Consider the following 15715-nt stretch of genomic DNA (forward strand, 5'->3'; position numbering starts at 1 on the left):
ATTTTTGAACACCATTAGGAATATTACTGGATTTTTGTATATACGGTATATTTTACACAGTTTTGGTAATTTTTCTCTTTGGATACACAAAGAGAAAAATTATTTATCTTCTCTTTCGGTATCTGTGGCCATTGGGAACCCCTTCATCTGGCTTCTGTGTCCATTTATTTATTTATGTTTAATTTGTTTAAACAGCTTTATTGAGGTGTGATTTGTATACCACCAAACTCATGCATCTTAAGTGTTTGACGTCTCTGTCCTTTGGCAGAGAGACATCTCTTCCTTCCTTACTTGGTACAGAGTGAGAGGTGGCTGCATGTATATTTTTTTTGTCTTGATCTTAAATACCTTCTTTCAGATTATCTCAGACCTCGAGTCTTGGAATGATGAGCTTTCTCAGCAAATGAATGACTTCGACACAGAAGATCTCACGATTGCAGAGCAGCGCCTCCAGCACCATGCAGACAAAGCCTTGACCATGAACAACTTGACTTTTGACGTCATCCACCAAGGGCAAGATCTTCTGCAGTATGTCAATGAGGTCCAGGCCTCTGGTAAGAGGGCTCACTCCATCTGTGTCCGTTGTGATTTCTTCATGTCGTCATGGCAATTCGGCTTATTTCAGTGGGATGACTGCAAATTTTGTTAGTTCCTATGATAAAGGTATTATAGATACCTGTTCTTTAAAAGAACGTTTGCATTTTTATGTAATACAGTCACATTTAACATGGTTAGAGTACTCACCCATGATATTCTCACATACTATTTTAAGTATCATGAACTTTAATTCTACACAATGATATGTTGTATCTCTGTAAATGAACTATAAATCCCAGGAAAACATTTTCACATTCTTTATTTTTTTAGTTTATGTTTTACCAGCAGATGTCACTATAGGTTCAGAAATGTATTAGAAACTTAGCAACAACCTGCATACTGCATTATTCATTTTACACAAATTAAATGCTTACCAAAGAGGAAACTGCAAGTAATGAGGATAACAACAAAAAAAACCCTGAAATTCGCTCATTTGTAAAGAATGCCACACTTTCCTAGTTATCAGTGTGGGAGTAGAAATGGATGGGATGTGGATGTGGATTGATTGCCTATACATCCTTTGACACACTTTGCCCTCCTTGAACTTGCCCTTCAGCATAATGGCTTGGCCCCCAGCTGGGCAGATCATTCACAAAAGCAGATTTTGTGCCATCCACCCTTTGAGAACAGAAGGTTGAAGTGCTAGCTGAATTCTAGGGTCTCCCTTTAATGTCCACAGGTGTGGAGCTGCTGTGTGATAGAGATGTAGACATGGCAACTCGGGTCCAGGACCTGCTGGAGTTTCTTCATGAAAAACAGCAGGAATTGGATTTAGCCGCAGAGCAGCATCGGAAACACCTGGAGCAGTGCGTGCAGCTGCGCCACCTGCAGGCAGAAGTGAAACAGGTGAGCAAACGACTGGATGCTTGGGGAGGCTGCGCTACAGATGCTTGATACCTCATCGACTTCCCGGAAATTCTGACCTGTAGCATTGGGAAGGATTGTGCCTGCTCAGAACACAGCTTTCCTGATATGTAAGATAATGCGCACATACACACACCCCCGCCCCCCGATTACAGCCATCCCTAATGTGTGAAAAGGGAGCCAGTGGCCAGGACAGCTGGCTGGCTGTTCACCCAGCACAGGCAGCACTTGAAGGTAACAGCCCTTGGCTTCTTTCAGTATTGATAGTCTGTCTCTTGCTTGAAACCCTGAGCATATTGCTTCTTATATGACTTTTTCTGCCCAGTACTGTTAGGATCTGGATTGTTTCTCAGACTCCAGATGCCTGGGGCATTTCTTTTGTTATCAGGATACTGTAATACCACATCCTGATGGCATGACAAAGTGAAAATGGGACATGGGGAAGGGATTGCTTTTGGCTCAGTGCCAGTGGGATTCTGTGCATGGATATGACATTTTATTAACTGGCTTGATGGAGGGAGAGAAAAGCTTATGGTGCCCTGAAAGATGCAGAGAAAGCAAACAGAAAGTAAGTTTGGTTGGAGGGGACTTAAGATGCCTCTGGACCATGAGCAGGAGGTGGTGCAGAAGTAGGTGGCACTCACATCAGAACAGGTAGACTCTTCAGTCAGAACTGTTGAAAAGAGCACCTTTCAGTCTCCCACATGCCATCTGCAGTGTGGGTATTTTTACATATAAATAAGTGTTGTGACCTGCTAACAAAGCCCTCCTTCTTGCCAAAACACAAAACAGTTTATTTAAGAAATAACGGAATAAATAAATGTATCCCTTAGGATTCACCTTTGCCTAAAACAGAGACTAAAAAATAGTGGCTTTGAAAAGGTGTTTTCCGCATGTGACAAGTCAGAATGTAGAAGAAGATTGCTGGTCTGCATTTAGTGGTCCCATGATACATTAGGCTGAGATCTTGGTGATGGCTGGCCTTTCCCTTCTGGTTGCCAAGTGGCTGTTGTAGCTCCAGCCATCACCTCCATATCCCAAATTATCAGGAAGGGGAACGCATAATGAGAAAGAGGCAGCCCCTCTATCAGAAAAGAAATATTTTCACAAACTTCCCCAGAGACTCCTGCTTTGCTTTCATTGGCTAGACTTGTACATTACTGTAGCCAAGCTGTAATAGGAGCTGAGAAGTGGTTTTATTGTTTAAGCCCTCTTCCAAAGTTGGGGTTTTACTTAGAAAACCCCAGACACAGAGTGGTTTTATTGTTTAAGCCCTCTCTCAAAGTTGGGGTTTTACTTAGTTGGAGTTTTTCTAAGTAAAGCCCCAACTTTGGGAGAGGGCTTAGACAATAAAAGTACTTCTGTGCTAAGTAAACGAGAGGGCAATAGGTATTATATAGGTTACTTGAGGTCACTGCCACACCTTACTATCCAGAAGACCTCCCACAATCTGTGGTTTCCACTGTTAGAATTTACTTCCTCTGAGTGTGTGTGCAGTTGAGAAGCTCATGGTTTGAACCTGATCATTGTAGCACAATGTTATTCATACCTTGGTTATTATGCCATTCAACACTGCAGTTAAGTTGGAAAAAGAGTTCGTGAAATAAATTAGTTCCCCCTTTTCAAGCATTTGCCAATTTTTCAGTCCTAAAAATGCTGGAAAGGAATGAAAAATATTTTTCTTGATTATCAGGGAATTCCTGGTGTCAGTAGGTTTTCTAAAATATGGCCCATAATCTGTTTTGACTTGTGGACTAATTATCAACAATCCACTGGACCCTCCACCTTTTCATTTCCCATTTGCTACTAAAAATAACAGAACTAATTAAAAAGATGCAGCACTTGCAGTCAGGTACCATGGAAGAACATCAGGCTGTTGCCTGGATTTTAGGATGATGAAGGCATCAGTGCCTCGTACCTGCCAGGAGCAACTGGACTATCTTGCACGCTTGTATCTCACCCCTGGTGGTCCACAGGATTCTCTGGGAAGTCCACTGCTTGGAGTTATCCTGTGTAATGTTTCAGGTGCTGGGTTGGATCCGCAACGGAGAGTCCATGTTAAATGCCGGACTTATCACAGCCAGCTCGTTACAAGAGGCAGAGCAGCTCCAGCGAGAGCACGAGCAGTTCCAGCATGCCATTGAGGTAAGGGCGCTGGGCCTGCCTGTGTGTTGGCTCTTTCATTCCTCAGGACAAACATCCTGAATCCCCCAACATGGCACTGACCATGGGAACCACATGGGGCTGGCTTGGTAAAGACGACTCAGAGGACCCAAATTGGCAACGCTTCTAAGTCTGCAGCTGATTACAGGAAAGGGAAACAGTGTGGTGCCACGGTGAGGTGAGGATCTGCATCCCAGCCAGGCAGCCTCACTGCAAGGATCCCAAAGGTCTCGGAGGCCAGGGGGTTCCTGTTGTTCTCCTGTTGTAGGAGCCCTGGCAAGATGCACTTTCTCTCATCTGGAATGGCTCAGAACCGAGGAGCCCACGTTGCAGTCTCAGCTGAGGTTTTCTAATCTTGCTGGTCTCTTAAGCACATTTCTGCTATGTTACCAACCTCAACCAAGCAGAGAGCTCAGCAAGACCAGGTGTATATCATGAATTCACTATCAGTCAGTAAACGATGCCGACAGCAAAACTCCTCAGATTCCTGCTTAAAAGCAGCCTTGTTCACCTTGACAAGGGTCACTGCCATGCCAGAACTGTCGCAAAATGACTCAGGCCAATTCCAGGCCTGATCCAATTAACTGTCAGCATGTGGACTAATTATTTTTATTTTTTGGTATGGGTAGGGCACATGGGTCATGGTTCTGATTGGTAGTGGTGAGGTAATGTCAAAGGAAAAAGAACATTTGATTACAGAAATGTTATCTCCTGCTCTGCTCACATACATGTTGTCAGCTAGAGAAGAAAGCTACAGAAGTTGCCACTAATTTATTCCCTGGATTAATTTATTGTCAACTGTTTGGTGCCATTGGACATGCATTAACACCTCTTCCTGAGGTGCAAACTCTGGGCATCTGTATACTGTGCCAAGGGATTTCTAGTAATTAAATTGCAGGTAATAAATCACTGTGTCTGGGTAAAGGATTAGAATATATTGTATATAGTGTTTTATGGGATCATTTGTACTTCTTCAGGCGAAATGAGAGGTTTTGCTATTGTTTAAAAAAAATCTGTCCTTAGAGACCTGTGCTCTCCCTGACCACACCCTCCCTTGGCTCTACGGCCTCACTGGAGAGAAGCTTACCTCTCAGCCCATCCTGGCTCTTCTAGTGAAGACAGCTGAGCAAAATCCTACTGCATTTGCCATGCCATTTGCATAGATTTATCAGATGGCATGGACCTCCAGAGAACACAGTTGTTTCATTCTTAGCTTTTTGATTTTTCTTTCCTTTTTAAAATCAATAGTTCTTGAAAACTTTTCACTGGAGTCCAGAGTTTAAGTTGCAAGTGAAAATAAAAAGCATTCACTCTGGCCACCTTTTCTCTGCTTGTTCATTTGCTTCCAGCAGCTATTATGAGAAGGATCAACAGGAATAATAAACTTGGAACATTTCAACCACTTCTTTGGCTGTTAAGGGTCTTTCCTGCTATTTCTCAGACTAAGAACCCTACAACCGAGACCCATTCTGGGAGGTCCTGATCAATTTCATCCTTCATTAGCTAATTTAAACATAGATCTAGTTGTTTCTCGGCATAAAACCTTTTTTGCTAAACTGTCTGCTGTGCTTTTAGAAGCATCCTAGTGAGTATTAACTGAAGGTATTTCCACAAAATCATGAAGAACAGAGTAACTGTAGCCATCCTGGTTCCTTTCTAGTCAGTGGGGACACTGACAAATAAGCCTTCCCTTTTGTTCTCTGTCTCTAGAAAACACATCAGAGCGCGCTGCAGGTGCAGCAGAAGGCAGAAGCCATGCTACAGGCCAACCACTACGACATGGACATGATCCGGGACTGCGCCGAGAAGGTGGCGTCTCACTGGCAACAGCTCATGCTCAAGATGGAAGATCGCCTCAAGCTCGTCAACGCCTCTGTCGCTTTCTACAAAACCTCAGAGCAGGTCAGGGGAGAGGTTCCCTTCCTTGAACTCCACTGATACTTTATTTTGAGCTTAATTTATTGGACAGCTCAATCATTGTTAACATGTTCATCGTTATTGAAACAATCAGTTGCCAGTCAAGCAGGGAAAAGGCATTCTGGAGTTAAAATTATTCCTGTGTACCTTAGATGTCAAAGGTAATAAGCTAGAAAGTAGCTGAGAAGACACCTCTCTTCTTGTCATTTAAACATAGGACCTGAAGCACATTAGAGAGAGACAGGATATTTGCTTTGGTTTTGTTCTCGCTCTGAAAAGTCTGCCTGCTTTTGACCCTGTAGTTGTTCTCCAGCCAGGTGGAGCCCATGGCTCCTTCTTATGGTCTTGATCCTCCTGACAGCATCTTCATCCCCAGAGCCCGACTGAAAGGGCTTTCCAGGGATACCAGTCGGCAGTGGCAGATGCCAAGTCTGAGCCTCAAACTTTTCCTGCTCACAGGTCTGCAGCGTCCTCGAGAGCCTGGAACAGGAGTACAAGAGAGAAGAAGACTGGTGTGGCGGGGCGGATAAGCTGGGCCCAAACTCTGAGACGGACCACGTGACGCCCATGATCAGCAAGCACCTGGAGCAGAAGGAGGCATTCCTGAAGGTAGGGGCAGCGCTGCGGGACAGTGCACCCATCAGAGGCTTCCTGCCTGCCAGGTGCGCGTGGCACAGTCATCGCTTCCCAAGGGAGCCTGCCCCACACCTCTTGCCTGCTGTGGAATGTAACGGGGCAGTGTCGCATCAGTGAGAAGTCAGCTGAAGAAAGAAAACCTTAAAATCCTTTTCATGTGCGATTGCCTTGTCTTTCTAGTTTTCACAGGGAAATAGCTAAAAATCTGTATGAGTAAGGATTGGTTGGAAGTCACAATACCAGGTGATGCTGGAGACAGAGTGATTGAGTGATTGATTAATTTGGTGAAAAACAATACCTATAGCTTAAAATAATCTTCCTTTGGAGACTCAGCCTCCTCATTCCCTTCATAGGGAATGAAGATTGCATCTCAGAAGAGGTGTAAGCACGGCATGGAGTAGACACAGTGCGAGCGCCACACGGCTTGTGGTGGCAGTTGCTGATACCTACTCAGGAAATGCTTCCGACAAGAGAAATGTGTCACATGCAGACCAGGCTGGGAGTTTTCTCTCTGAGAAGCTTTAATGAGGAATTTTTCAAGACTGCTTTTTCTTTTCTTTCTTTCTTTCTTTCTTTTTTTTTTTTTAATTCAGCGAAGGGGTCTCACTCTGTCACCCAGGCTGGAGTGCAGTAGTGCAGTCACAACTCTCTGAAGACTTGAACTTCCTGGGCTTAAGCGGTCCTCCCGCTTCAGCCTCTCTAGTAGCTGGGACTACAGTGCTCTGTCATATTTTTATAAATGTCACATTTAGTCATACATAGTCACAGACGTGCTTTGGAACAGTTAAATTTTTCAAAGTAGTTGAAACATTTAGCAACATTTGGTGCTGAATGTTCTGTGTTGCATTCTTGGGCCCTTACAGAATTTCTGAGGCTCTGCTTGTTATCACCACCCAGACCCATTAAAAGTAGGGGTGGTGGTCACTTTTCCTCCTTACCTTCTCATTGCTTCAGCGTTCTCACCTCTCTGACCACTTTCCTGTTACACTTAACACTTTCTGTGTTTTTTTCTGAAGTCCGTCATCTGACAGAGTTATTGTTTAGTCTGGGAGGATAAATTGTAACTCTTTGGAAATTATATCTGGTAACTTACTTTGTGCTCCCACCACAGTGATTTTCTTTTTAAGCAAGCTCCCGGGGTGAAAAAACCATCACAGTTTCCACGGTCATTAGTTATAACTACGTCAACAGCTTTTTAAAGCCCCTGCCCCCAACATGTCCCTACTGCTTAAGTTTACCAAATGCTGACCGCTGTTAGGATTTCGAGGTGGAATCATTAGAATTTTCCCCTTTGTCCAGGATCTGTTTAGTATGAAAGAAAAATGAATGCCACTTAGTTCATATAATTAAGATAGCTATTTAGGTAAAATTACAAAACAAAAATACAGGCGGTCCTCAAGTTACGATGGTTTGACTTGTGATTTTTGGACTTGTTGGTGTCAGTGCGCTGTGCATTGAGTAGAACCTGTACATCAAATGCTATACAACCATTGATTTTCACTTTCAGTGCAGCATTCAATGAATTACATGGGATTATAAAATAGGTTTTGTTTTAGATGATTTTGCCCAACTGCAGGCCAGGGTAACTGTAGGCTTAAATTGAGCACTTTTAAGGTAACTAGGCTAAGTTAAACTGTGATGTTGAGTAGATTAGGTGCAATAAACTCATTTTTGACTTACGATTTTTTTGACTTACAATGGGTTTATCAGGATAAGTCAAGGAGCATCTGTAATCACAAGCCTTTTTGGATCCCTTTGTTCAACTAGAATTTTGTGGTGTTTGTGTATAGGATATTTAAGTACCTTTTTATTATGGGAATTTGAAGATATGTACAAAAGGAGAGAGAATGGATTCTCCTCCTATTTTACTCCTTACCCAACTTTTCTGATTATCAATGTATGGGCATATATCTACCTTCAGTGGATTATTTAAAATTCTAGATATATCATTTTATTTGTGAATTTAAACATTAAATTCTCCCTTTCAGAAATACAAATAAAATACCATTATCATATCTTTAAAATTATAGTAATTCTTTAATATTATCTGAAATCCAGCATTGTTAAAATTTTTTTGATTGTTCTGTAAATGTTTTTTTTTTTTTTTTGAGACAGGGTCTTGCCTTGTCAACCAAGCTGGAGTGCACTGGTGTGATCATAGTTCACTGCAGCTTTAGACTCCTGGGCTTAAGTGATCATCCCACCTCCGCCCCCCTAGGAGCTAGGACTACAGGCACTTGCCACCACACCTGGCTAATTTTTGTATTTTTTTGTAGTAATGGAGTCTCCTTATGTTGCCCAGCCTGGTCTCAAACTCCTGGGCTCAAGTGATCCTCCCACCTTGGCCTCCCAAAATATTGGGATTACAGGTGTGAGCCTCCACACCTGGCCTATAAATGTCTTTTTATACATGGTTTTAATTAAAATTCAAACAGGGTCCACATATTGATTTGGTTGGGTATGTCTTTTGAATCACTTTTAATCTAAACAATACTCCCTCCTTTCATTACTATTTATTAATTGAAGAAATACGTTCCTCGGATTGAGGCATTTCCCCCATTCCAGATTGGTAATTACATCCTGTGGGGTCATTTAGCACCATCCACAATTTGTAGATTTTTGTTAGGTTGTGAGCCTTGATCAGAGCTGGTTTGAAAGGCGGAGGGGGGGCGATGGTGGGGGAAGAAAGAGAGGCGGGGGTGTGAGAGAGAGAGAGAGAGAGAGAGTGCAGGCGAGCTTGGAAAACCTTGCCAGTGGTGCTTGTACTTCCTATGGGATTACTCAGGAGACACATAATGTCTAGTTCTCTCTTTTGTCTCTGTGATTGGTAAGAAGATTGATCAGTGGTTCAAGTACGGTCAGTGCAGTTCATCCCTCTGTACTTCCCATCAGCCTTTCAGCTAATGGTGTTAGTACCCAGTGGTAATAACTGTTTTTTAGGAATTGCAAAATGGTAATACTCTAATTCTATCATTTCCTTTGGCCTCGATTAGCTAGAATTATTCCCTCTCAGCTATTTGGTTATTCTAAAGTAGAGTTTGTCCAGAAAAGGCAGAGTAAATGCTTGCTTGATCCTTTTTATTTGCCATTTTCAGGATAATGAATTGTTGCTATAGCAACTTCTACATATGACTTTTTTTTAGTATCATCATGGATTTAAATATATTTGGTGTGTTTCAAAGCAGTCACTGTCATTTATCTTTTAACACGCAGCTCATCCTATCCATAGGAGCCCTTTCAAGGCAGGTTGCTTAGCTGTCCTTAGCCATCACCCTCGTAGTCTTCAGCGTCTTCCTTGTTGTTTGGTTTGACAGCGTATTAGTCCATTCTCATGCGCTGTGAAGAAATACCTGAGAATGGGTAATTTATAAAAGAAAGAGGTTTAGTTGACTCACAGTTCCATAGGACAGGGGAGGCCTCAGAAAACTTACAGTCACTGCAGAAGGGGAAGCAAACACGTCCTTCTTCACATGGCGCGGGAAGTAGAAGAATGAGAGAAGTACAGGGTGAGGCAGGGAAAAGCCCCTCACAAAACCATCACATCTTGTGAGAGCTCAGTTGCTGCACGAGAACAGCATGGGGGACCACCCCCATGATTCAGTCACCTCCCACGAGGTTTCTACCGCTGACATGTGGAGATTACAATTCGGATTACAATTCAAGATGACATTTGGGTGGGAACACAGAGCCAGGCCATATCAGACAACTCGAAATTTCACACGAATCAGTAGAGACTCATGATGTGTTTTTCTCTTAATTGAAAAAAAGGTAGCCTCGCTCCATCTACTGAAAAAGTCTGGAAACAGTGACCAACCCCAAAGCCCTGACCATCCCGAATGACTAGACTGTGGGCTCTAAATACCATTTAACACTAGAAGGAGATAGAGCTCCTTGAAGAAAAGATTAATTCCAGACCCAAGACAGGAAATGCACAAGATGTTTCCAATTCACATATAATTAAAGGGTTTTTTCCTTACCTTCTTTGATTTTATATTTGTATTCTTTTATCTAAAACCCTTATTTTAAAATATGTGAATGAAACTGGTTTGGTTTATCCTGCTGCATAAACATAAACACATATTGTCAGTTACCATAATAACATCACATAACAAAGTTTCAACCAGGGTTGGCAAGTTCTGAACTGAGGGCTAAGTTGGGCCACATTGATACAGTTTACCTGTCACCTGTGGCTGCTTTCATCTGTTGTTTGTTTGAGTAGTTGTGACGGAGAAACAGACTGTATGACCCCCCAAAACTGAAAGTGTTTACTGTCTACCCTACGTAGAAATCCAGGCACAGCCCAGCTGAGTTCTGCAGCTCAAGGTCACTCCTTAGGCTGTGATCCAGGGTCAGGCCAGGTGTGCAAACCTCTCTAGACTGGACGGAGACAGGGCTTCCCTTCCTCCGTGACCGTAAGCCAGGGGCTGCCCTCTGTTTCCTGCCCCATGGGCCTCTCTATAGGGCAGAATGTAGCAGCAGGTGTCATCAGAGCGAGGGCTTCAGGAGAGAGAGATTTTTTTTTAATTGAATTAGATTTTATCCTATGCATTTTCTAAACCAGCAGGTGGCCAGATAAATATTTTAGGTAAAGACATACGTTAGAGTGCAGTGATGTGTACTCCAAATACACGTTTGTAGAAGTCAAATTAGCAACACATTGCTCTCCATTGTTTTTTAGGCTTGCACCCTTGCTCGGAGGAATGCAGACGTCTTCCTGAAATACCTGCACAGGAACAGCGTGAACATGCCAGGAATGGTGACGCACATCAAAGCTCCTGAACAGCAAGTGAAAAGTGAGTAGAGCTGGGAGTCTCCAGGGGTGGCCCAGTGCATGCCTGGCAAGAGACAAAAGGAGCCTGCACGTTGTGTTCTGAACTCTCAACTTCAGTTTCATTTTAAATGTCCGTTTCATGTTAATGAAGTCCTTACTAATGATCTTAGTTTAATAATAAAAAGATTAAACAAATTTATAGGTTGATATTATATTGAATAGGTTGATAATTTATTGAATAAGTTGAAGAATATAAACAGGGAGAAAATGCAAATTCAGGATGATATTTACTGACATTGGCTATTTTGTTAAAGTAAGTAAAAAATAAATAGGGGGAAAGGGAAAACCAGAGTTATCTATAGGCAAAGGATTTTTAAAAGCTCAAATAGAGAAAATACATCCCAATTTTATCACTATAAAGTATTATTAATTTTGTATACCTAAGGCATAGTTAATAAAAACAAATTGAAAAATAATAATATATAGGTTATATCATTTGAGTGTAAAAACCTGTAAAACCGTGTTTGTGTGTGTGTGTGTAAGTGTTTAGAAAAAGGTCTGGGAAAACGTATACTAAATTGTAATAGGATTGATGTGGAAGGAAAATGGATAAAGAAACTAAGGCACAAAGCAAGTAACTTTGACCAGGGATACACAGCCTAAGTTTAGTTTTATAGGAAAAAAAATTGTGATAATCAGTTAGCAAATGATTCATCTCACACTTTTCAAAACAATATGATTGGCAAAAACTTTGTACATTACATTCTACTGTCTGCTCATCTGATTCATCTGTTAGTTGTCACAAAATAATTTTGTTACACCACTATAATTCTCTAAGTTCTTTCAGTAAAACATATTTATTGATGGGCTTTTTCTTCTGGAAAAATGTGCAACTCACAAAAGCAACCGTTTTTCTGCATGAATAAGTCTTCTGGGCCAGCAAGTTATTTGCATTGATAATTGGTTTATTTGGCTCATTTCCTGTAGAAATAAGTTCACCCATCTCTCAATATTGCTTTCATTTGTTGGTTGTGTCCTGTCTTTTCTGATTGAAGATATTGTGGTCCTTTTTAGGTTGCGCTAGTTTGACACACGTTTTTGTGTGAGAGGGAGACTGTGTTTCGTTTATTCCCTCGTTAGATCTTCATTATGCCTTTGCTGTTGTATATCCTAATGTTGGATGCTGTGAAGAATTAAAATAGAAGTGTTCTGTTTCCCTCAGAGCCTACTTGGGGGTGAAAGGTTTATTTATGCTCGAGTCAGTGCACTAAGTTCCTGTAAGAGTAATGGTGGCAGAAAAGACAGTCTAACCCCAAGGCACAGGCAAGGAGGAGTCTCAGACCACGTGGTCAGAGGACCCCCAGGAGCTTGAGGAAGCCCCGTATCCAAGAGGGCGCTTAGCACTGTTTGCTGCTCACTTGCCCGAAATTAGTACTGGCTCAGGCAGAGACTGTGGAAATAGGAGACTAGAAAAAATGCGTTATCTCATATTCATTTTCATGTGCAATATTTTCATGTAAGTGATAGCTTAATTTTTTAGCAGACTTCAGATTTCAAAGTTTTAATTTATCTCACTGTGCTAGTTTACCTCTTCAGTGGAGTAAAAATAACAGCATGACCACTGGTCCCTGGGGGATAGTTGGCAGTGTCTAAAGGCATTTTTTATTGTCATCAAAAATGATGACACCATATTGTCACCATAAGAATATGGTGGTATTTAGGGTGATAATGGTAGAGATGGAGAAAAGTCAATAAATTTGGGGTTCATTTTGGAGGTAGTATTGAGAGAGTCTGTTGTTAGGCTGGATGTAAATGCTGCTCTTCTGTTCTTACTTATCACAAAGTACAGACTGCTAGGAACTCAGTAAGTATTTGTGGAAAACTTCCTATATTAATGGTTTTCCAGTGTAATAAAGTTACCGGGAACCCTTTATTTGATTTGCAGTTTCAGTCTTGGGAATTTTTTTCTTAAGTTTTTTGTTTGTTTCATAAACTTCTAGAGCAAAACAGACTTAGTGTCAAAAACTCAAAAAGTGTACAAATACATATGTTAGCTAATTCCTTAGCTACTGGTAACCACTGTCAAGGCTTTTGTGCAACCTGTCTGTGCATGTAAATGTAAATATGTAGAGAAATACAAACATATATTTCACTCACCCATCCCACTTTTTAATTTGTTACAAAAATGGGACTATATTACCTTGCAACTTGCATCTTTCACTTAATAATATATCTTAGTCATCTTTCTGTGTCAGAATTTAAAGATCTGCTGTTCTTTTTAATACCCAGTATAGCATTTTTGAAGTTAATTTGACCTGTCTCTCAATTGATGGGTCATACATTGCTGCCTATTTTCCACTGTTCTAACCAGCGCTTCAGTGTTCCAACATCTTTGTACAAACAGTTTTGAATAGTTGTGTAAGCACTGTTCATCTGAAAGTTAAATTCCCAGTTCAAAGGAATGCATGCACCTTTTCAGTGTCATTCCCTGGGGTCATCATACTCAGTTTTTCTCCCTCCATAATAGAGGATCATGATTACCTGTTCCCTTACTCTTTCCAACACTGGATCTTACCCGTCTAGCAGGAAAGCAGTGAAAGATGGTCTCATTGTTTGAGGTTAAATGTGTTCCTGTATATTTAGTGACTGTATTTTTTAAATTGTGAACTTCGTATTTATAGGCTTTACTCATTCTTCTAAAGAATTGTTCATCGTTTTTCTGTTGACTATTCTATGTCATATGTTCCCAATGCTTAAAAATTTTTTGTCTGTGCACCAGTTTTTGGTGGTTCTTGTTTGGTTATGACATTTTAAATGTTTGTGTCATGAGGTTTGTTTTTTTTTTTCTTGCCTTTATAGCTTCATGCTTCTCTGCTTCCCCACTTCATGTCCTTTCCTCTCCTAAGGGGTTATGGTTTTGTATTTTTTTTTGTTTTTTTTTTTAGACGGAGTCTTGCCCTGTCGCCTAGGCTGGAGTGCAATGACATGATCTTGGCTCACTGCAGCCTCTGCCTCCCAGGTTCAAGGAAGTCTCCTGCCTCAGCCTCCCAAGTAGCTGGGACTACAGGCACCTGCCACCATGCCCTGCTAATTTTTGTATTTTTAGTAGAGACAGAGTTTCGCTATGTTGGCCAGGCTGGTCTCAGACTCCTGACCTCAGGTGATCCACCCATCCGCCTCAGCCTCCCAAAGTACTGGGATTACAGGCGTGAGCCACCGCGCCCAGCTTGGTTTTTCTTTTTTTTTAATCCACCCTTGTTGATTATTACTCCACTATTTTGACACAACCTTTAATCTGTATAAAAGTCCATCTACACAAGGTTTTAATAGTCTTGAAAAAAATGCTGATTTTTTTTCAGCCATTGTCGAATTGCATATTATAAAATTGTGCATTATGTCGAATTCATATTACAAAATACACATATCCCACGAATCCATCCAGCCGGAGGTATTACAGACTGACGTTAAATTTCCAGTGGTGTCTTTATCGTAAGATGGTCAAATGGAGGTGAGAGTGAGAAGAGGTCTGGTAGACATGCTCACTGAGACAGGAAAGCAGTGTGATTCTTTATTTATCGTGCTGTCTTGCAATGGCATTTGCATAAAAGTCTAAATAAAAATGAATGGAATTTCGCGGTTGTTTTAATTGATTGCAAGCACCAACATACATCATTTTCTTTTTTCTCTCAGATATCTTGAATGAACTCTTCCAACGGGAGAACAGGGTATTGCATTACTGGACCATGAGGAAGAGACGGCTGGACCAGTGTCAGCAGTACGTGGTCTTTGAGAGGAGTGCCAAGCAGGTCAGTGCACACCTGGTGCCCAGCCTCCCCCTAAACTCCCGTGCTCACACCTGTCTCCACAGAGAGGCTGAGCTTGACATTTCCGCCATCTTGAAAACCACTTTCTAATGACAAACAGTATAGCCTTCTAGTTAAGTTTGTTATAAAAAGAAAACCCCACAGCCTGGTAAAAGCATGTCACTCAGTGATTTTGACCCTCAGCAAGTGTGCCTTCCCCTACTGTCTTTACCTCATCTCTAAGACAGCAAAGTACAAGTAATAATGACAAGGATTATTTAAAAATTATTGGGGAATCTTGGTTCTGTACTTAGGTAAATATGATGGATTTTTTTTTATATTGATGTATTTATATTTTCAAGACAAAGTTTTTATTTTTCCGATTAATCAAGTTAAAATTAAGTAGGAAATGTGACAGAATATCTTTCTTTTTCTGTTTCTTTTTTTTTTTTGAGACAGAGTTTTGCTCTTGTTGTCCAGGCTGGAGTGCAATGGCACGGTCTCAGCTTACTGCAACCTCTGTCTCCCAGGTTCAAGTGATTCTCCTGCCTCAGCCTCCCAAGTAGCTGTGATTACAGGCGTCCACCACCACGCCTGGGTAATTTTTATATTTTCAGTGGAGATGAGGTTTCACCATGTTGGCCAGCCTGGTCTCGAACTCCTGACCTCAGGTGATCTGCCTACCTTGACCTCCCAAAGTGCTGGGATTACAGGCATGAGCCACCGCACCTGGCCCAGAATTTCTAATAATTTAGTATAGTCAAAAAGTGTTGATGTATCAAGGGGGTACATTTGGAGTATCCCCTTCTTAAGTCATTTTGGGATGAAGTGCTTCTGCCTGTATCATCAGTCATGGACGAAGATCATTTTATTGTAAAAATCTGACCCCGTCTTAAATATTAAGATTCCTGTCACTTCTGTTTTGCCTTAATGGTTGCTTAAGAATCCGTAAACTTTCATCCAG

At 41.4% G+C, this 15715-nt stretch overlaps 1 protein-coding gene across 11 annotated transcripts in view; it reads left to right on the forward strand.

The window, feature by feature from the left end:
• Positions 1 to 15715, forward strand: part of TRIO (trio Rho guanine nucleotide exchange factor) — a 366863-nt gene that overhangs the window by 220032 nt on the left and 131116 nt on the right. For all 11 annotated transcript variants that reach the window (NR_134469.2, XM_047417679.1, NM_007118.4 and 8 more), the window contains 7 exons: positions 359 to 554; positions 1277 to 1443; positions 3487 to 3606; positions 5335 to 5526; positions 6001 to 6150; positions 10856 to 10970; positions 14639 to 14754. Coding sequence is in view for 10 of the 11 variants with exons in the window: in XM_047417679.1 (XP_047273635.1) it covers positions 359 to 554; positions 1277 to 1443; positions 3487 to 3606; positions 5335 to 5526; positions 6001 to 6150; positions 10856 to 10970; positions 14639 to 14754 (1056 nt within the window). In the remaining variant the exon portion in view is untranslated. The remainder of the gene's footprint in view (positions 1 to 358; positions 555 to 1276; positions 1444 to 3486; positions 3607 to 5334; positions 5527 to 6000; positions 6151 to 10855; positions 10971 to 14638; positions 14755 to 15715) is intronic.

This window comes from Homo sapiens, chromosome 5 (genome assembly GCF_000001405.40).
Source record: "Homo sapiens chromosome 5, GRCh38.p14 Primary Assembly".
NCBI lineage: Eukaryota > Metazoa > Chordata > Mammalia > Primates > Hominidae > Homo > Homo sapiens.